At 38.7% G+C, this 21344-nt stretch overlaps 2 protein-coding genes across 9 annotated transcripts in view, besides 2 other annotated features; one reads left to right on the forward strand and one right to left on the reverse strand.

Moving 5' to 3' along the window:
- The window catches only part of CCDC146 (coiled-coil domain containing 146), a 172590-nt gene that overhangs the window by 66402 nt on the left and 84844 nt on the right, over nucleotides 1-21344 (forward strand). For 3 of the 8 annotated variants that reach the window (XM_047420663.1, XM_047420666.1, XM_047420668.1), the window contains exons 1-2: nucleotides 4188-4310; nucleotides 9219-9301. The exons of the other annotated variants lie outside the window; for them this stretch is intronic. In XM_047420663.1, coding sequence (XP_047276619.1) covers nucleotides 9299-9301 — 3 coding nt within the window. In that variant the 5' untranslated portion in view covers nucleotides 4188-4310; nucleotides 9219-9298. Of the gene's footprint in view, nucleotides 1-4187; nucleotides 4311-9218; nucleotides 9302-21344 lie in introns of those variants that run through there. 8 annotated transcript variants of the gene reach the window in all.
- Nucleotides 4353-10803, reverse strand: FGL2 (fibrinogen like 2). The gene is made up of 2 exons (NM_006682.3): nucleotides 10165-10803; nucleotides 4353-7969 (listed from the first exon to the last, which is right to left on the reverse strand). The coding sequence occupies exons 1-2, from the start codon at nucleotides 10775-10777 to the stop codon at nucleotides 7263-7265; spliced, it is 1320 nt and encodes a 439-aa protein (NP_006673.1). The 5' UTR covers nucleotides 10778-10803; the 3' UTR covers nucleotides 4353-7262.
- Nucleotides 10394-10503: a silencer, noted in NCBI's record as "silent region_18318". NCBI's record gives its function as "represses an Ori minimal core promoter by ATAC-STARR-seq in GM12878 lymphoblastoid cells {active_cell/tissue: GM12878}" and the evidence as "EXISTENCE:reporter gene assay evidence [ECO:0000049][PMID:35858748]".
- Nucleotides 13893-13942: an enhancer, noted in NCBI's record as "active region_26204". NCBI's record gives its function as "activates an Ori minimal core promoter by ATAC-STARR-seq in GM12878 lymphoblastoid cells {active_cell/tissue: GM12878}" and the evidence as "EXISTENCE:reporter gene assay evidence [ECO:0000049][PMID:35858748]".

Below are 21344 nucleotides of genomic sequence, written 5' to 3' on the forward strand. Positions count from 1 at the left end.
TAATCCCATGGATTCATTGCCATGGGATTCCACATTTCTCAACTGTATTTCTGAGCCCTAGATGTCTTTCCTGAACTTCAGACTAATATTCAAATGCCTATATCCACTTGGATATCTTTGAACTTATAATGTTCAAAACTTCTGATTCCAGCCTCCCACCCCACTCCATTCCACTCCTCACACACTTTGCAGACAGGCTTCCCCTGCAGACTTCCGCATTTCTGTTCCTGGCAGCTCCATCCTTCACAGTTGCTCAGACTAAAATCTTGCGGTTTTCTATAATGCCTCTAATTGTTATTATCTACCACTGGCTGACCTTTGATCAGCAAATTTTGTCACCTCTACCTTCAAAATAGATGTATCTCACTGCAACTTTTCATCATGCTTTCCTCATCACTTAGCAAGAATATTGCAAACATCAAACTGATGTCCTTGCTTCAATCCTTGGTTCCCTACAGTCTGTTTTCCACTTAGCTACAAAAGCGACCCCTTTAAAACTGGTTGAGATCATGTCTTTCCTCTGCTCAAAACCCTTACGGCTCTTATCTACTCAGTGTAAAAGGCACAGTCCTTACCATGGCTTAAAGGCCTAGGTAATCCGGTATACCACTCCTATCCCTTGTTCATCCCCAACCACCCAAGCTGTCTCTGATCTCATCTTCTCACCACCCCAGACCCTCTGCTGTTTCACACAGACATCTTTGCTGACCTTCAAACATGCTATCCACTCTTCCAGGCTTGGGGCTTTTGCACCTAATGTTCCCTTTGTTTGAAACACACTTATCCCAGACATCTGCCTGGTTTGAGCTCTCATATCTTTAGGTCTCTGTTCAAATTTCACCTCCACAGACAGGCCTCTTCTGACTGCTCTATATGAAACAGCACCCCCTTTTCTACTACTCCCTTACTCTCCTTAATTTTTAATGGTATTTATCATGTATTTGTCTCCTCTGATAAATATTTACCATATATTTGTCTCTACTACCCGCTGCATGAGTGTAAGATTTTTATCCGTGTTGGTCACTGATAAATCTCCAGCCTCCTAGAAGACTGACACATGGTGTGCACTCAGTGAATACTCGATGAATGAATTAAGGCTAACTTTACCCCAGCATTTCTATCTCCATAAGTCTGAGTTCGAAGACATTTCTGGCTTCTCAACTTTAGTTACCATGAGCTGCTATTGAATGTAAGTTTGTATTAACTAAGCAAGCAAACTATTAGACTCAAACATGTCTTCTCAAGATAGCCTGTTGAATCTATAATTTCTGGTAAATATACCTATACCAGTAAATTCAGTCACATCTAAAATTGTTTCTTCCTTAATCAGGCAACCTCAGTCTCTCTCTACATGTCTTCTCCAGCCTTCTGCTGATATAAGTTAGCAAAGTTGTGCAAAGCCTTCTCTTTCCATTAGACTTTAGAACTGATACTGGGGCATGCCCTGATGATGAATCTGGAGATGCTGATGAGTGGGATGAAGGAGCCTAAGGAAGAATTTGGAGTGTTCCCCCAGGAAAGAAAGCAACAGTGCCCTCCAGCAAGAGGACATCCTCATCAATGTCAGGGGAGGGACTACTTCAAAAAGCAAGGGGGGGCCCACTCATGTTTGGGAATTCGGGACACTCCATGTTTTCAAAGTATACCCATTTCCTCTCATTTCCACCTCTTTCCAGTCAATCAACAAAGGAGACCTGGCAAGCTTATGACTTAGTAGACATTGTGATCTGGCAATGCACAGAATGAAATTAAAGTTGGGAATTGGCCACCTCGGCTTGTTACCTCTGGGGAGAGGGACAGGATTGAAATTGAAGGTGATTTGTGAAGGAGTCTTTATTTTAATCTGTAACTTTTTAAAAAATTAAAGGATTCATGGATTTTATATTAAAATTAATTTCAAAATTATTCCTGCTTTTTTCTTCAGGAATTCAGTAGGGTGGAACAATCACTATTGGGCAGGTACAGCAATATGCCTCTGTGTGACATGTCCCCACAGGCATGTTCCTAGGACCCCTTCTAAAAGTTTGCCACTGTTACATTCCCAGTCCTATAGTATACAGTAAGTCCTCACTTAACATCATGGATAGGTTCTTGGAAACAGCAACTTTAAGCAAAAACAGCATATTGTATGCCATAGGAACTTCATTCTTGTTTATGTCAATTAGCTTATGGTAAAATTGGTTTTGTTACATGGTATGTTGTTTTAACGTCGCTGTTTCTGAGAACCTATCAACAGCGTTAAGTGAGGACTTACTGTATTTGATCCTGTCTTGCCATATTCTCCCTGGCTGTAATTGCTTCTCACCTATGTTCACAGTCTCTCATATCCGCAGATTTGACCCTACCCACTACTTTCCCAATCATAACTGTGGCCTCTTTAGAGTACAACTCTTTCTCTGTGGCAACATATTATTAATCACTTTGAATAACAATACTCATGTCTCAAATTTCCTTTACTCCTATTCACACAGATTGATTTCAGGATAGAACTTAGACAATATTGAATAATATATAATAAGGAATATGTAGGATGGCATAAGATCTAGGAGAGGTGCCAGGACCCCACCTACTGTCATCAGAGAACTCTGCCTATAAGAGATAACTATTTAGGGCCTGGCGCAGTGGCTCACGCCTGTAATCCCAGCACTTTGGGAGGCCAAGGTGGGCGGATCACGAGGTCAGGAGATCGAGACCATCCTGGCTAACACGGTGAAACCCAGTCTCTACTAAAAATACAAAACAAATTAGCTGGGTGTGGTGGCGGGCACCTGTAGTCCTAGCTACTTGGGAGGCTGAGGCAGGAGAATGGTGTGAACCCAGGAGGCGGAGCGTGCAGTGAGCCGAGATGGTGCTACTGCACTCCAGCCTGGGCGACAGAGCAAGACTCCATCTCAAAAAATAAAAAATAATAATAACTACTTAGGATGATGATGATTTTTTTTCTCTGTCACCCAGGCTGGAGTGCAGTGGCGCCATCTCTGCTCACTGCAACCTCTGTCTGCCAGGTTCAAGCAATTCTCCTGCCTCAGCTTCCTGAGTAGCTGGGACTACAGGTGTGAGCCACCACACCTGGCTAATTTTTGTATTTTTAGTAGAGATGGGGTTTCACCATGTTGGCCAGGCTGGTCTCACGTGATCCGCCCACCTCGGCCTCCCAAAGTGCTGGGATTACAGGCATGTGCCACCAACACCCAGCTGGGAATGATGATTTTTAAATATATATGTTCTAGGTGCTTTATATATGTGATTTAATCCTCTCAATAACTCTATCAGGCAGATTCTATTACTATTCCTATTTTATAATTGAAGGAACCAAAGAACATTAAGTGACTTGCCCAGGATCATACAGCTTGCAAATAGTGGAGCTGAAATTCAAACCAGGAAGGCCAGCTCCTGAGTTCCTGCTGTTAATCATGGGTGATAAGACAAAACCCAGTGAGGAAAGAGGATGGCATTCTATCTAGACCAAGGAAACAGTATACTAAAGGCAATGAAAACATTAGAAAGCGTAGTTTGTTTGTGTACAACAAGGCGTTTAGTATGGCAGAAGTATAAGTAGTGGTAAAAATCATTTCATGAAGGGACTTATTTGCCAGATTTTATCTTGTAGAAAATAAGGCATTGTTGGCCGGGCACGGTGGCTAATGCCTGTAATCCCAGCACTTTGCGAGGCCTAGGCGGGTGGATCACGAGGTCAGGAGATCGAGACCATCCTGGCTAACATGGTGAAACCCCGTCTCTACTAAAAATACAAAAATTAGCTGGGCGAGGTGGCAGGCGTCTGTAGTCCCAGCTACTCAGGAGGCTGAGAGAGGAGAATGGCGTGAACCCAGGAGGCAGAGGTTGCAGTGAGCCGAGATCTCGCCATTGCACTCCAGCCTGGGCGACAGAGTGAGACTCCGTCTCTAAAAAAAATAAAATAAAATAATAAAAAAAAAGAAAAGAAGGCGTTGTTGAAAGTTTTTTAAGCAGGACAATAACATGATCAGAATTGTACTTTTGAACAATCCCCCTGGTAGGGATGAAAGTTGGACTGGAATAGACTGAAACCAGAGGTACAGACTATTCAGATGCGTTTGTGTTGTCCTAAGGAGATGAAGAGGGCTAACCAGAGCAGCAACACTAATAACGGAAAAAGAGGAGAGGAAGTTGAATGCCACAAAATGAAACTGAAACTTTTGTATTTCAAATGTTTCAACAGTATTCTAGAGGGAAGTAAGATAATGGTGTTCCTCTATTTGCCTCTGACTTCTTGTTAATGAAATAGTACTCATTAAAGTCTTCAGAGTCACAGATATTGTATAGCTGAGGTAAGCATTTTACAACTTTTCAGACACAAGTAAGTACATAAATATTATTTTACAACCAACAATATTTAATATTTCCACATTGAAGAATAGATGTGATAATTAAATCTTTTATAAGGTTTTAAAAAGACATGAAACATAAACCTAATTATACATAAAAGAAAAGAATTTTAAACAAGAGCTTATTGTGATGACATTACTCATAACTTTTACCTTTAAAACCTTTTCTTGGGTAGCTATTCAAAAGTAAAGACCACAAGTTTTGTTGCCCAGATTTCTTATGTTTTGTATATTTAAGCTCTTTATTTATTGAACAGATGTGTCATTAATTCATTTGGAGCATTACTATTATCAGTAAAATTTGATTTTTTTTTCCCCTCAGTCATAGGTAAATCAGCTCCACCTGGAATTTCTAAGGACCCAGTTTTAGTCAATATTTTCAAGTAATCATGACCTCAGAAATAGTCTTAATTAAGATAACAAATATTAGCCATCAAAATGGAACCAAGACAAGATTCTAATGTTTGTAAACAGTCAATCCATATTTATGAATATTAGCATATATTGGTGAATAGTTAAGGCAAAAGGTTCTAGCAGATGTAATCTATTTCCATCAACATGTTAAATGTTATAAAAGTCTAGAATTATTGGTAACATGAAATGATTCCAAAATGGAATTTCTGTGTTACAGAATTTACTAGAAAAGTGCTGTGAAAGTATAATGAAAAATAAAGTGATCCCTTGAAATAATGTGGATAGAACAAGCTTTTGAATATTTACATGGATTAATGAATTATTTGCCAAATTCTCCTGAAGTTATACCTAGTTCCCATTAAATTAATGGACACCGTGTATATGAGCATATACCTTTCTTTAGAACTATGTTTTGTGATAAGTCCATTTTTACTCACAGGAATTTACTTAAACTTGTACATATATTAATTATATATACTAAATGACAATGACCTTATCTGAAACAAATACATTGTATAATATCAAAACGTTTTTAGTCTTTTTTAAAAAGTAAAAAGTAAAAAACAACGTCAGTTACATCATTTACATTTGGTATCCCACCTAATAGAGACACAGCTTTTGAAATCTACAATATTTTACATTTTGGTCATCATTTAATGCTATTTGCATTTCTCTTTAACATTTTAATAGTATTTGTGATATATCATGTTTAACTGAAAGCTTTGGGTTATATATTTTAAAGGAATATCTTACTTTTTGACTAAATAGTTCTGTAAGGGCCTAATATTTGAAAAATTAGCTTGTTACCTGAAGCAACTATCCTCCTTAATCATTTTAAAATAATGGGTAAAGATGCATCTTTGTAAATATATTTTGAAAACTTGGTTAGTGTATTAGAAACAGACACCAGAAATTAAAAAAATTATTTCTAGGACTGGCATACACTACAGTGAATTACTTCAAATGTTACTCTAGAGCATTTTTAAAAATACGCAGAATACTGCTGTTCTCTCTGAGATGATCCCTTTTTACGATGATGAAATTAAACACATTTAAAAAGTCTTTTAAATATTATATATAGCATTCCAGAATTGATGAATTATAAAAATTACAGATACTTCTGTTTGGGTAAAAATCTATCTTTTAGTTTCTGATAGTAAAATAAGCAATCTACCAGCCAGGGTTGAAATATATAGTATTTTAACTACTGTTCTATATATTTCAAAATTCATGTTTTCTATCTGTCCTAGAGAAACTTAGCCTTCTATGAAGTGAATCACTTAATGATATTATTGCTTTGGAGATAAAATTGGCCTCAGAGTATGATAGCCTGTAAGTAAATGCTTCATTACCCACATATCCCTACCCACCCCCCCCAAAAAAACCTACCAGTAGTCTAGTACAGTAGTGAGCAATCTTAAATTAAAAGCTATTGTTCACACAGAGCAGAGGAAGATAATTTTCATGTTAAAGCAGTTTTCAACATCAAACATCTAAGGAGTTATAAACTATAAATGAATTACCTTTAAACCCTGGTCTTCACAGTTACATTGCTTTCTGAATGCTTTTTGGGGTGACATTATGCTACCACATTTTTAAACGGTTTAAATGACAAGTATTTTATATTTCATGAATGATAAATGAACAAGTTTAATTATATAGATATTAGTTCCCTTAGTCTGGGAACCAAAATGCTGTAGGGTTGTTCTGTTGCAAAGTAAATGATATAGATTAAGTTTGTCTCAGAATGAAGATTACCCAAATAATTATAGCCTGAAAAGAGTGATATACCTTCAGATGTGCTTAAATCATGGCCCAAATACAGATTACTTTGTGTAGAATCCAGCCTACTGAATAAATTTTATTATTTTTTTGTTTGAGACAGAGTTTTCTCTGTCACCCATGCTGGAGTGCAGTGGCTCAGTCTTGGCTCACTGCAACCTCTTCCTCTCAGGTTCAAGCGATTCTCCTGCCTCAGCCTCCCAAGTAGCTAGGATTACAGGCATGTACCACCATGCCCGGCTAATTTTTGTATTTTTAATAGAGACAGCGTTTCACATGTTTGGCCAGGCTGGTCTCAAACTCCTGACCTCAAGTGATCTGCCTGCCTTGACATTCCAAAGTGCTGGGATTACAGGCGTGAGCTACCACACCCAGCCAACAATTATTTTTTAAATACAGCAAGTAATACAAGCAATAGAAAAAGTTTCAATAGAAATTAAAAGAATTGTAAATCTAATGTATAATTCTCAATATTGCTAATTGCTTGCAAGTGTTCATTGGATAACAGCATAACAACAAAGGACTCCTTTAAAATGCATTGTTTTTCAGCTTTATTTCAAATGCTGTGTAGCATAAGAACCTAGCCGTCAGACATCATTTTTTAGCTATGAAAAATATGAAACAAGGCATATTCTAAAGTGCTGAAGGAATTAATTGCCCTATTAGATAACGAATACCTGGAGGAATGAACAGAGTGATTTATGGCTTAAAGTGCTTGGGTCTGATCATCATCTTAGCCTCTTTGAAGGAGGACTTGTAGCCACCAGGGTGTGCCTCACTTACACCAGGCCAGGTACCCCAGAAAATCCCATTACGGACACCTCTGTATTTTTGGTGATAATATTTGCCATTTAAGTTTGCAGAAAGACATGCATCAAACCACCAGCCTGAACTGTAGTACAGCCCACAGTTCCCAGAAGGATATCGATCATTGTCTTTATCTGGAGTGGTGAAAAACTTCAGATCGTGGTTGTAATGTTTGTTGAAACGTAATGCATCTCCAGCTGTGCCATTATAGTTACCAACGTGTAAACGATATTTGAGAAACTCATTAGCCACATAAAACTGATCATACAAGGCATATAGTTCGACACCATTAAAGTCTTCAAGATCTATTCTCAGAATCATTTCCTTACTCTTGGTCAGAAGATGAATTTTATCGTTCCCCAGCCAAAATTCCCTTCTGAGGTTTCCAAAGCCTGCTTTGTAGTCTTGCCATGTTCTGGTGAAGTTGGTGCTCCCATCGAGACGTGCCTGCAGCACTGTCCAGCCTCCCCCCATGGTCTCCATGTCACAGTAAACTTCAAAGCTACTATTTTTGGGATCAGGTGTAACTCTGTAGGTCTCACTGCTTCTTTTGCCTATTGCGTAGTAGTCAGAGCAATCTTTATATATTAGATGTTGAACTGAAGGGGAAATAAAAGGAAGGCATTGGATCTTGTTAATAGAAACCATGCATCTGAAGAATTCTTTATATGTACAAAAGCAGTTTGATAATTGAATCAATGGCAGTAATGAAACTTTACTAAACTTACTTGAACCTGTTTAGCAAATGCTTAAGGCCTCACAAGAAGAACCTAATGTTATAAAGCAGAAAGGACCTCTAATATACTCTTGGTTGGTAGTAATAATGACAGCATCAACAGCAAACGACAATAAGAAAATAATAAAAGTACAGTTTTAATAATTTAGTATTATGTAGTGAGGCCTACCTATACGTTCTAGGCATGCTGCCAGACTGGGTAACATTTTCACACTGAATCTGAACATTGACCTTATGATGTAGGCGTTACTGCCAGTCTGCATGTGAGGATATTTAGGCATAAAGATCAGTGGCTTGCCCACCTTCACCTGAGCTTTAAGTGGCAGAGCCAGGACACTAACTCAGATCTGGCTGGCAGCAAAGCTTTGTTCTCGTAATCATTGCATCCCTTGGTCCTAAAAATCAGATGATTCTAACTCTCCTAGAACTGTATTCCTTGCATACAGAGGAAGCACAGGCTTCTATTTTCTTTCACCTAAAGGGGCTGATAGCCTCTACTGTCAGAAGGTTTTATAGCATATATTCCAAATGATGTGTTAAAATCCTAATGCATAGGATTGATCATAAATTCATATTCATTTCACTTGACAACTATATAAAGAAGCTCAAGTGAAAAAGAAGTATCTTTTTCAATGACACACCAATATTCTTATTCTGTATTTATTATCTAGGAAAGTATTTAGCCACTATTTCACATGTTGGGTTTCTAGAAAGAAACAACAGGTGACTATATTGAGGATAAGCATAATAATCAGTTAACAAAGTTCTGTATGAATCAGACAGATATTTACTCCCAGATAGTTTTTATTAAAATGTGTGACAAATAAGGTAAGTTTAATATGAGATACCCTAAGGCATAAAAATCTATTCCTGTATATTTAGAGCTCAGAATATTCAGTTATTTCACCCAAAATGTTTAGGAGAAAAATAGACAATAGTCTTCATATCATGACAAGTTGCCATGCAGCATCTAATCTAATGTATACCCACTGATGTCACCTAAGCGGTGAACCTTGGATTCGCAGTGTGCCAGGTACATTCAGATGCAGGCTGCCAGGAGTATTACCAATAGAGGTCCTTGAAAATATGACCCTTCCCTCCTTCACTGGCAGATGCCCTGGGGATGGAGCATGCCTGAGATACTGTCTCTAAATGAAAGTGATCTCCGCCCTGTCCTTTCAACCTCACGTTCATGGTAAGTAGAGGTCCAAATGCGGAGATGGCTTTCCAAAGTATGAGACAGTCAGCAACAGTGGTCCCAGTGACTCAGGTGAAAAGCCAAGGTTTGGAGAGTCAATACCACTGTTAGTTCGTGGGTGGAGTAGGCGATTAAGTCTGTGGAATTTCACATGTATTTATTAAAGTTAATTCAAGTAATTTGGATGGTGAGGATGGGTTCTACTTCTATCTGCTTGAATTCTAACTTCAGGTAAAAGAGAAAGAAATATGAATACCTTCCCTTAGTGGCATGCTAAAACTCTCCCCTTAAAATATTTTTTGTGCCACTAGGTCTCAAAGCAAAAATTTGTGCACACATATGAAACTGCTTTTATTCCATCTGTAAACTCTCCCATTTTCTCCAGATATTTGGGATTAAGAACTAGATTACTTGCTAAAATCTTTCAAAGACCTCTTTAGCCATGAGAAGCGGCAGTCAGTCAATCACAAGAAAAACTGATTTCCAACAAACAAGGCACAATTGTGAACATCGCCTTATCTTTATTGTTTTCAAACACCTCATTGAAGAGACAAGTTAAATGCACTAAAACATCAAGAAATTCTCTCTACTTCTGCTTGCAAGTAGGTCTGGCATTAACAAATAAGATCTTAAAATTGAAAGTGACTTCCAGTGGATACAGAACTAACTATGATTTTTGTAATTAGGTCATATTTATGTGGTCATATTTGAGAAGATATTTATTTTTTCCTGTGCACCTTGATAAATAAAAGACTTAATCTGTCATCTATTTAACTTACTGACTCAGGTTAATGTTTATAGATACTCTCTAGCTGTATAACATTTATGAACATATGATAAGAAAACATTATTATACATACCTGGACGTGACTGTATTTGTTCTTGGCTGGGACACTTTGAACATTTGCCATCCAAACTATTGACAACAAATGTTAGATTTGCCACTTTGCTGTCAACATAATTTTCTATGTTGTTCATATTTACAAGATTCAGCTTCTCCAGGCGACCATGAAGTACATTGATCTCCTCTTTGGCATTCTTTAGCTCAGAGGACAGCTTGTTAACCTCACTCTCTAATTCTCTAACTCTGTTATCACCAACCTCTCCCGGGGCTCCTGTACTGGGTAACAACAGTCCGTTTCTGCCTGGGTCTCCGTTGTCATCAGCCTGCAGCTTGCAGTCTTGGCAAGATTTCTTTAGACTATTTACGATTTCCTTGAGGTTTTGGACTTCTTTGAACACCTCCTCGATCCTGCTGAATTGCTTCGGGAGCTGAATAGTCAAGGGGGGCAGGCTTACCTGGTAGGGGCACTCCCCTGCCTCTTCGCATTTCCCTCTGCTTTCTAGTCTCACTGGGCAGACATCCTTTGCTCTTTCATCTTTAATTTCCTCTGTTTCATTGTTTGCCACAACCAAAAAACCGTAAGTGGCAAGAACAGCTGAGCTCAGCCAGTACCAGTTAGCCAGCTTCATCTTTACAGTGCTGCTCACCCCAGCAGGGAGTGCGCAGGGCTGGAGCTGCTTTAATAGCGGCAGCTGCCTGAGTCAGGCTTTCTGTGTTCCCAGGAAAGGGTGGGAGCGTTTGCATCACAAGTTTTAGAAACGCACAGGAAGAGGAGATAGCCCTCATCAAACGCAGTTTGCCAAAAACTGTAACTTACTCTCAATAGAAATAATATGCATTGAAATTATTATAGTCAAATGTACACAGCCAACAAGATTCACTTTCATAATGTATTTTATGAAGTATAAGAAAAGTCTTGCATTTCTAAAGTAATTTGGTATACTTACGCTTGAAGTAAATAATTATACGTAACTTCACTGGAAAAACAGTTTTTAAAGATAAAAAGTAAGAGCTAGTTATCCAAACTGTCTATAGAACAGAAACGTTACTAAAATGAAAATGGTCCTTTTTCCTTCTTAGAATGGGGCATTGGGGAGCCTGTATTTTCTTCATGTTGGACTTTCAGGTGAAATCTTAAGCACTTTTAGAAGTTTCTAAGTGTAACAAAGTACAGCTTTCTGACTATTGCAGTTGACTTTTGCTTCATCTACTTGAAAAAGAGAAGAAAACTAGTGGAGAAAAAAGTGCTACTTTCTATTCCTTTGTCCGTAGCATAGTGTATATTAATGTCTAAATGTCTAAGACCCATTTAAAAGGACATAATTGTCTTTCATCAAAACCAGTAGCTGCCTCCTTTGCCCTTCGACATTTTGGTAATTGTACTGTCATCTTCCACAGCTGCTCAAATGTGAATCTTTGAGCTATGCCAGTGTCTGTCCTGAACTTCTCTTGCCTACAGCATCTTTGCCCTTTCTTTCTGCAGGTAGCCCTGGCAGGCGGGCCTCTTGCTTTCTGTCTCCACGCTGGTTCTTCTACCTGCTCTCTGGGCCACTTGGTATATCAGCTTGTTCAAAACATGTAGCATTAATGATAATAGTTTTCTAACTTTCTCTTCAGAGGCTGAAGGCAGGAAAGAGGAACAGCTTCAGTTAGAGAAACCACCTCCTTTTAATTTGTTTTGCATATTGACATCTCATAAGATTTCTTGTTTAAAAAGGGTTTTTTTGCTTTAAAAATAATTTCAAAATGACTGACATGGGCAAAAATCTAAATGTTTTATTGTATTACTTAAAACACTCTGTAGCCTATCTCATATTTATGTCTTTAACCTGATTTCCTATGACTTTTCTGTATATCCCCTTAATTTTAGCCAAATCCTATTCACATTCTCAAAATGTTGGCAGACTCTTTACTCTTCCATGACTGTATTTATTCTCGCATACTCAGGAGACCTGGCTTCCAACCCTAGATCTACCTCTGATCATGTAAACAGATCATCAGCTTTAATGAGCCTTTGTTCCTGTAGCTGTAGCGGAGGAATTTAGCTATTTCTTCCCTCATACAGGAATGATAGTCATGCAAACTTGGAGCACTTGGCTGGGCGTGGTGGCTCACGCCTGTAATCCCAACACATTGGGAGGCCGAGGCATGTGGATCACCTGAGATCAGGAGTTTGAGACCAACCTGGCCAACATGGTGAAACCCCATCTCTACTAAAAATACAAAAAAAAAAAAAAAAATTAGCCAGGTATGGTGGCGTGTGCCTGTAATCCCAGCTACTCGGGAGGCTGAGGCAGGAGAATCACTTGAACCCAGGAGGTGGAGGTTGCAGTGAGCCTAGATCGTACCACTGCACTCCAGCCTGGGCAATAAGAGTGAAACTCCATCCCCCAGCCCCACCCCTCACAAAAAAAGAAAAAAAAAACTTAGAGCACTTAAGAAAAAAAAAAATGCAGTGTATAAATGTAACATTCTTCCCAAATAAATTTGTCAAACATGTTCTACACACCTTATGACTTTTTTTCTTCCATCTTCATATAGCTCTTTCAAAAATTGTTTTTCTCTTCATTCCATTCAATATATCCAATTTTAGACAAAAACTTTTTAGCTAAAAATATCTATTTAATCCCCTAACTCCTAACCTCATTTCTTCTCACCTATTTTCAAGCTGTGACACTTCCCTGTTGGGAGGTAAGAAATAAATGAAACAATAGATAATTTTAAAAAGGAGACATGATGACAACATAGATAAAAAAAAAAACCATTTTGTAAAGTAGAAATATATAGGAATGATATTTAGTTCCTAGTCCTTAAGGATATTGTGAAATGTCCTTGACTGACTAGAGTATAAATCCCTGCATTTAGTTAGTAAAGTATTTATTAAGGATCTTCTGTATACTCAGCACTATGCTAGAGCATATATAAGATGCGTGCCACAGGCACTTTCATTCATTTATTCCTCATACATATATTGATATACTATATATTTATTCATCATAAATTGACTCTGCACCCTCTGCATGCAAAACCGCTATTCTAGGCACTTGGGCCACACTGGTGAACAAATCAGACAAAAATCCCTTTTTCCTTCTTAGAAAGGGGCATTAAAGACCTGGTATTTTCTTCACGTTGGACTTTGAAATGAAATCTTAAGTACTTTTTAAAGTTTCTAAACCTAACAGAAGTACAGCTTTTGGACTCTTGCAGTGGGCTTTTGGTTCATCTGTTTGAATCAGAAATGTGCGTGTCAAGCACTGCTGCTAATTTTTGGCTGGTCACACCCCAGTTAACCAAGGGCCAATGGCACAGTTTCCCCTAAAAAGCTTGGATGTGCTTTGAGAACTGGCTTCTGTCCCTTCAGAATGCATAAAAAATTCCCTGACATAAGGGTAGAGAACTCCTCTGTTGACCAGTTTCATTGACACTGACAGGTGACCTGCTAGGTTCTCGGTTTAGAAAGTCATTTGGCCACTGACTGGAAGGCAGATGCTAAGTGACTACTGCATGAAAAGAGGCTCAACTCCCCTAATGAGTGTATAACTCATGGAGGGCAGAGAGTGTTGTACCGCCTCTACGGTTCCTCCCTGCACTTGCAGATGAGCAAAGAAAGGGCTCAAAGCAATAAATGACTTGTCTGGTCATTTTACAGTTTTCAGTTTCTGTTTTAGAGTTTTTAAGAGACAGCTGGAATTTGAACCTGTATCTGATTCAAAGTTCATATCTTTTCTCTTTGCCACATTGCCACGTAGGAGGAAAGATAACATGGGGAGGGTATGTGAGAACTATGTGGAGAGCCTGTGCTTAAAGCAATGCTTAGATCAATGGAGAGCCACTAAAGGTTTTTGAGCAAGGAAAATAAAATACTTGCCCCCCCCCCCCCCAGGACTATTTTAGGAATGAATCTTCTGCTGCAAATCAGTGGGAAATGGCATTTTAGGTGAGAGCTAGTAGTGTGGTAGCAGGCACTAGATAAGAGGTGAACCAGTGTGGAGGCAGGAGGGGTAGGAAAGGAGATGGAGGCATTATTACCAAGGCATGATAGAAGCCATGGGATCTGATAAGTGGTGAGAACTGGAAAGAGAGGGACAACTCTGAAATTTGCCTCTGATTGCAGTTAAATGATAGCATGCTAATGACAGAGGTAGCAGTAGGTTGGGGAGAGTGTAGTAGTATTTCTGTTTTCAGTACACTGGGTTTTAAGCATTGACAAGCCACCAAATGCAAATATCAAGCAAAGAGTGGTGGCACATCTAGGTATGAATATTGACACAGAATAGATGTGGATGTTAATTTGAAATCACGGGAATCAAAAAGATGGTCAAAGAAATAGGATGAGAACCAGGAGAGTACAGGAGCGTCATGAATACCAGGAAAAGGGAGGGTTTCAAGCAGGACTAGGCCATCAGAAAATCGAAACCTGAAGAGCTGACTTGTCCTTCACTACTAGGAGTTCCCACCTCATGACTTGACCTTCTGCCTCTTCTCTCTTGCTGAAAGCCCTTCTGGATTCTCTCATGCTGAGTCTACCCTGACTCCTAGTATCGGCTGCTTATTCCTCATGGCGGTGTCAGAATCTTCCTTACTACCCTGAATCTGTCCTTGACCCAGCACTGACACATTACACTCACTTACAGACTTGTTTTTAGATTTAAGCAAATTATTTAACACCAATACATGGTGGGATTTTAAAGTAGCAAAATTTATTTCTATAAGCCGCATATGAAATTTTACTTTCATTAGTCTATATTCACATGTTCAGACTTCCTTTTTGCTTACACAAAGTATATTTAAGAGAAGATCTGCATTTTCTATAACTGGATCAGATTCCTAAAGTAAATTTTTGTTTCCCCTAATACAGTTTTTTTTTTCAAGGAAACCCTTTGTGTTTCTATTTGTACTAAAAGAAGAAAGTAAATTTAATGATAGTCGTATTTATAGTATTGAGAGCCTTTCACTGATATTAAGCTTATTAACATTTGTAGTTTCTGATTTATTAAACTCAGGAACCTTTAATTGTTCTTTAAAGAATATGTGCTTTTCTGATAAGAAAATTAAAACATTCACTTTTTAAACTACTTAATTTGAAATATCGACAGTAAATATTTATTTTAATATTCCTTAGAGGTCTTAGTCCTTGTTCATTATAAATTTCATGAAAAGAACTTAAAAAAAATGATTTCCACAACCCACAGAACAAGAATTGCCTGACTTTTGGTTAAAGCTAGAATAATAGTTGGTAGGTTCTGTGGTATGACTTGCAGGTACTTCATTCTGGCATAGATGAGAGATTCAGACTAGAAGTCTTCCAATATGGACCTACAATGAAAGATCTATTATGGGAATCCTTAAGATTTCTGGATCAACTGAAGTATAGGGCAGAAATATACAGATATTCACTATTAATGAAACTACAGAACATAGTTATCCAATATGCTAATGGCACAGGTCTTAAGTGGGAGTATCCAGGGCTTCTCAGATTGAAACTTTATGGAACTGGAATATTCCACAAGAGTCTCGGAAAGTTCATCAGTCAATACCTATCAACAAAATCAATTCTTATGTACTCCACACCAAGCCAGGGATCATGAAGGATCCAAAAGGTTAATGGATATGACATCTAATTTACTGTCATTTCCCTAAATTTCCAGAGACTTAGGAAGTTTCATATAGCCAGCCAGGTGCGGTAGCTCACACCTGTAATCCTAGCACTTTGGGAAACTGAAGTGGGAGGACCACTTGAGGCCAGAAATTCAAGACCAGCTTGGGCAACATAGTGAGACCCTGTCTCTACAAAAAATTTAAAAATTAGATGGGCATGCTGGCATGCGCCTACAGTCCCAGCTGCTCAGGAGGCTAAGGAGAAAGATCGCTTGAGCCCAGGAATTTTTACTTCTTGTATTTGAGATTGATCTTAAGCTTCTTCTTATAATCCCAAAACAAAACAAATAATAAAATCAAAGTAAAGAAATTAGGAGAATCAAATTGTGGCTTTCTATATCTTGCCTTCATTTCTCATATTCATGGTAGTTGTTTCCTATAAAGTCATTGCGAATACTGAATCAGCAAATACTGAACCATTGCTCCTAAGATTAGGTTTCTAAGAGCCTCTGGTCACATCATTTTTGTTAACCAATCAATATATAACCTTATTTTAAGTGTGTTTCTGTTTAAAGACACCCTATTTAATATATATTATTTATTCATTAATGCAGAACTCATGGCCAGCAGAACTATAATTCAAACCTGAAAGAAGTTTATCTAATATATGTGTTTTCTCCGTAAGACACATCACAGCCATCTGGAGCTTAAGAACTTGGGCATGCTGGCTCAGGCCTGTAATCCCAACATTTTGGAAGGCTGAGGTGGGTGAATCACTTGAGCTCAGGAGTTTGAGACCTGTCTGAGCAACATGGTGAAACCCCATCTCTACCAAAAATACAAAAAATTAGCCAAGCATGATGGTGCACACCTGTGGTCCCAGCTACTCGGCAGGCTGAAGCAGGAAGATCACTTGAGCCCAGGAGGCAGAGGTTGCGTGAGCTAAGATCATGCCACTGCACTCCAGCCTGGGCAATACAGTCAGACCCTGTCCCAAAAACAGACAAACACAACAACAACAAAAACCCTCTAGGTAGCACTTCAACACTATGCTCAGGGGCCATTTTATTTTATTATTTCTTAAAATGTCTTTTCTTTCAGTCACATTCTCCAGATGAGTCAGAGGCCATTTTAAACAGCGAAATCACCAAGAAAAAGCACAAGAATGTGAAAAACATGGCACTAATTAAATAGACTGCAAAGTGGATACCAGTTTACAGTATGAGATCTAAAAGAAGGCAGAAAGTTGCCTTCTTTGACTTCAGCTGGGTATATATGTATTTGGCAAATCAACATATTTACCACGCTACGCATGTCCATAGATGATCCACAGGTCCCACAAGTATTAATTTTGGGGTTACAAATAAATTTTAGAGAGTAGGCAAATCACAAAGACAAGATCTATGAATAATGAGGATTGCCCATATATTGTTACAAAATCCAGGGCTTTAAATTCTTGAAACTGCCTATGTATTTATTCTAATATGTATAATTTGATTTTACCTGCTTATCACTTGTGTTTTTGGGGGGTTTTGTTTATCTGTCTTTCTTTGGCATTTTAAAATAATATATAGGCAGGCACAGTAGCTCACACCTGTAATTCCAACACTTTGGGAGGCCAAGGCAGGCAGATCACTTGAGGTCAGGAGTTCAACCAGCCCGGCCAATGTGGTGAAATCCCATCTCTACTAAAAATACAAAAATTAGCCAGGTGTGGTGGTGTGTGTCTGTAATGCATATAATGGTGTGTGCCTCAGCTACATGGGAGGCTGAGGCAGGAAAATCGCTTGAACCCAAGAGGTGGGGGTTGCAGTGAGCTGAGATTGCACCACTGCACTCCAGCTTGGGTGACAAAGCGAAACTCTGTCTCCAAAAAAGAAACATACATATATATATATATATATATATATACACACACACACACACACATACATATACACACATGAATTTATATAATATATAACCTATTACATATTTATATATTGTATGTTATATGTCATGCCATATAGAACATTGTGAAATATGTAATCCATTAAATATAAATTTAATAATAATGTATAGCTTAGAAATTTGTTTTAATATTTCAATTTATTCATAATAATAGTGTTGCTTAAACAATTAAACTATTATGGTAAAGTGAAAATATTAAACTACTAATTCCCCACTAACTAAATAATTTCATGCCAAATGCATGTCTTTTAAATGCTGGCCATTGCATTCTTTGAAATTCTTTTTTTTAAAGATTCTTAACTTTATCTTATGAGATATAGATGTCGTCATGTGAACTCGCAATAAATGTTAATTGAAAGGCCATTTCCACTGTGCTGGTAACTAAAAATTTATTAAATGGAGTAAATGTTGTAGTTTTAACAGTTAACATTGAAATACATGGGTATCTCCTCATCTAAGTTCTTCTAAGGAAGTCTTTTAAAACATGATTGAAAGTATAGCATTCTGAGGTATAGCATTATCTTATTTATTTTTTCTTGTTCTACTTCTAGTTTGATATTTTGTATGATTAAAGACATTTTCTGTTATTTGCAGTGAAAACTTTTCAGGGTGGAAAAAACGACTTCATGATTATTATCAACAGATGTAAAATTGCTTGGCCCTTAGTTTATTTTAAACTACCCACCATTATTTGACACAGCTTTTTCTGCTTGTGTATTTAACACAAAATTATTTTGATAGTGTTTATTTGTAGGCAGTATTTTGACAATTGATACAAATTTCAGCTGCAACAATTGCTATTGCACAAGAAAACAGCAAAATAGACACAAATTGTGTCAGTCATATATAAATATAGATTTAAAATAAATCATTTATTACTATGATCATCTCAAAAAATAGAAAGATATAATAGAATGAAAAGAGCCTTAGGGTGGTAGTCATTGAATATATGTTCTTAGTGAAGAGCCTTCCAGTAACTTTCTTGCCACTGAACTAAGCCTTAACAAGCTAGGCCTTAAGTTTCTTATCTCTAATATGAGATGGTCAGATTAGAGATCTGTAAGGTCCTTTTCAGGTGTAACATTTTATGATTCTAAATGTTATTAATTAGAAGCAATATAATAGCAAAGCAGATCATCAAGATATAAACATAAATTCAGACTGTACTTTAAATCATTCTACTAGAAAATGTACAGATCTACCTCTTTTTAGGTATTCATTGATTCAACAAACACTTACTTTGCATTTATTGGACTAGGCTGTATACTAGCCCTGGGAATAACAAGGGTGAAAAACGGACACATCCTTGACTTTGTGGTGCTTTAAGTTGTAGATGAATGCATTTCAAGCCAGACCCAGCCTTGGGCACAGGCAACATGTTTGGCCTTATGCAGGGTTCAGTAAGGACACCTTTTCTGAACCCCTCAATTCCCTTTCACTTTGCCACATCATTAGGTTCTCCTCTTGATAACTCCAAAATGGACACTTTTAGAGTCATTAATTCCAAATTAGACCACAAAGGTGGCACAGTATCTACAGTCATGAGTCTATTAATGACAGGAATACGTTCTGAGAGATGCAATATTAGGCAATTTCTCTGTTGTGCTAATATCATAGAGTACACTTAAACCTAGATGGTATAGCCTACTACACATGTAGGCTATGTGGTATAGCCTATTGCTCCTAGGCTACAAATCTGTACAGTGTGCTAGCATGTTACTGTACTGAATACTGTATACAACTGTAACACAATGGTATTTGTGTATCTAAAAAAAGGCACAGTAAAAATATGATATTATAATCTTATGGCACCACCATCCTATATGTGGTTCACTGTTGACCAAAACATCTTTCTGCAGCACATGACTATAACTACTGCTATGTTAGATATATGCTGCCTGGGCAGAGAAGAGAGCTTCCTGTTTCTGTCCTTCATTCTGTTTCTCTTTGTCTTTTAACCTACTTCCCTAACTACTGCCACTCCAAAATCTCCCATATACAAATCAGAAAAATGAAGGGTCTCACTCTGTCACCCAGGCTGGAATGCAGTAGCATGATCACAGCAGCTCCCTGTTGCCTTAACCTCCTGGGCTCCAACAATCCTCCCACCTCAGCTTCCCAAGTAGCTGGCACTGCAGGCATATGCTACCATGCCCAGCTAATCTTTTTAAGAGATGGGGTCTCATTATGTTGCCCAGGCTAGTCTAGAACTCTTGGGCTGAAGGAATCCTCCTGCCTTACCTCCCAAAGTGCTGGGATTACAGGCATGATATCTGGGCAGGGACACAAAGCCAAACCACATCATTTCACCTCCGGCCCCTCCCAAATCTCATGTCTTTCTCACATTTCAAAACACAATTCTGCCATCCCAACAGTTCCCCAAAGTCCTTAACTCATTCCAACATTAACTCAAAAGTCCAAATTCAAAGACCCATCTGAGACAAGGCAAGTTCCTTCCACCTATGAGCCTGTGAAATAAAGAACAAGCTAGTTACTTCCAAGATACATGGGAGCACAGGCGTTGAGTAAATACACCCATTCCAAGAAGCAGAAATCAGCCAAAACAAAGTAGGTACAGGCCCCATGCAAATCCAAAACCCAGCAGGGCAGTCATTACATTTTAAAGCTCCAAAAGAATCTCCTTTGACTTCATGTCTCACATCCAAGCTACGCTGACACAGGGGTGGGCTCTCAAGGCCTTGGGCAGCTCCACCCCTGTGGCTCTGCAGAGTACAGCCCCTGCACCTGCTTTCATGGGCTGGCATTGATTGCCTGTGGCGTTTCCAGGTGCACGGTGCAAGCTGTTGGTGGATCTATCATTCTGGGGCCTGGAGGACGATGGCCCTCTTCTCACAGCTCCACTAGGCAGTGCTCCAGTGGGGACTCTGTGTGGAGGTTCCAACCCTACATTTTTGCCCTGAACTGCCATAGTAGAGGTTCTCCATGAGGGCTCCACCCTGGCATCAGACTTCTGCCTGGACATCCGGGCATTTCCGTACATCCCTTGAAAGCTAGGCAGAGGCTCCAAAACCTCAACTCTTGCCCTCTGCACACCCACAGGCTCAACACCACATGGAAGCCATCAAGGCTTGGGGCTTGTACCCTCTGAAACAACAGCCCATTCTGTACCTTGACCCCTTTTAGCCATGGCTGGAGCTGGAGCAGCTGGGACACAGGGTGCCATGTCTCAAGGCTGCACAGAGCAGTGGGGCCCTAGGCCTGGCCCACAAAACCATTTTTCCCTCCTAGGCCTCCAGGCCTGTGATGAGAGGGGCTGCCGTGAAGATCTGTAAAATGCCCTTGGAGACATTTTCTTCATTGTCCTGACTGTTAACATTCAGCTCCTCTTATGCAAATTCTCACAGCTGGCTTTAATTTCTCCCCACAAACTGGATTTTTCTTTTCTACCACATAGTCAGCCTGCAAATTTTCTAAACCTTTATGCTCTTCTTCCCTTTTAAATATAAGTTCCAATTTCAGATAATCTCTTTGTGTACACATATGAGTGTATGCTGTTAGAAGCAGCCAGGGAACATCTTACATGTTTTGCTGCTTAGAAGTTTCTTCCACCAGATACCCTAAATCATCTCTCTCAAGTTCAAAATTCCACAGATCCCTAGAGCAGGGGCACAATGCCACCAGTCTCTT

The sequence above is a fragment of the Homo sapiens genome, chromosome 7, assembly GCF_000001405.40.
Source record: "Homo sapiens chromosome 7, GRCh38.p14 Primary Assembly".
NCBI lineage: Eukaryota > Metazoa > Chordata > Mammalia > Primates > Hominidae > Homo > Homo sapiens.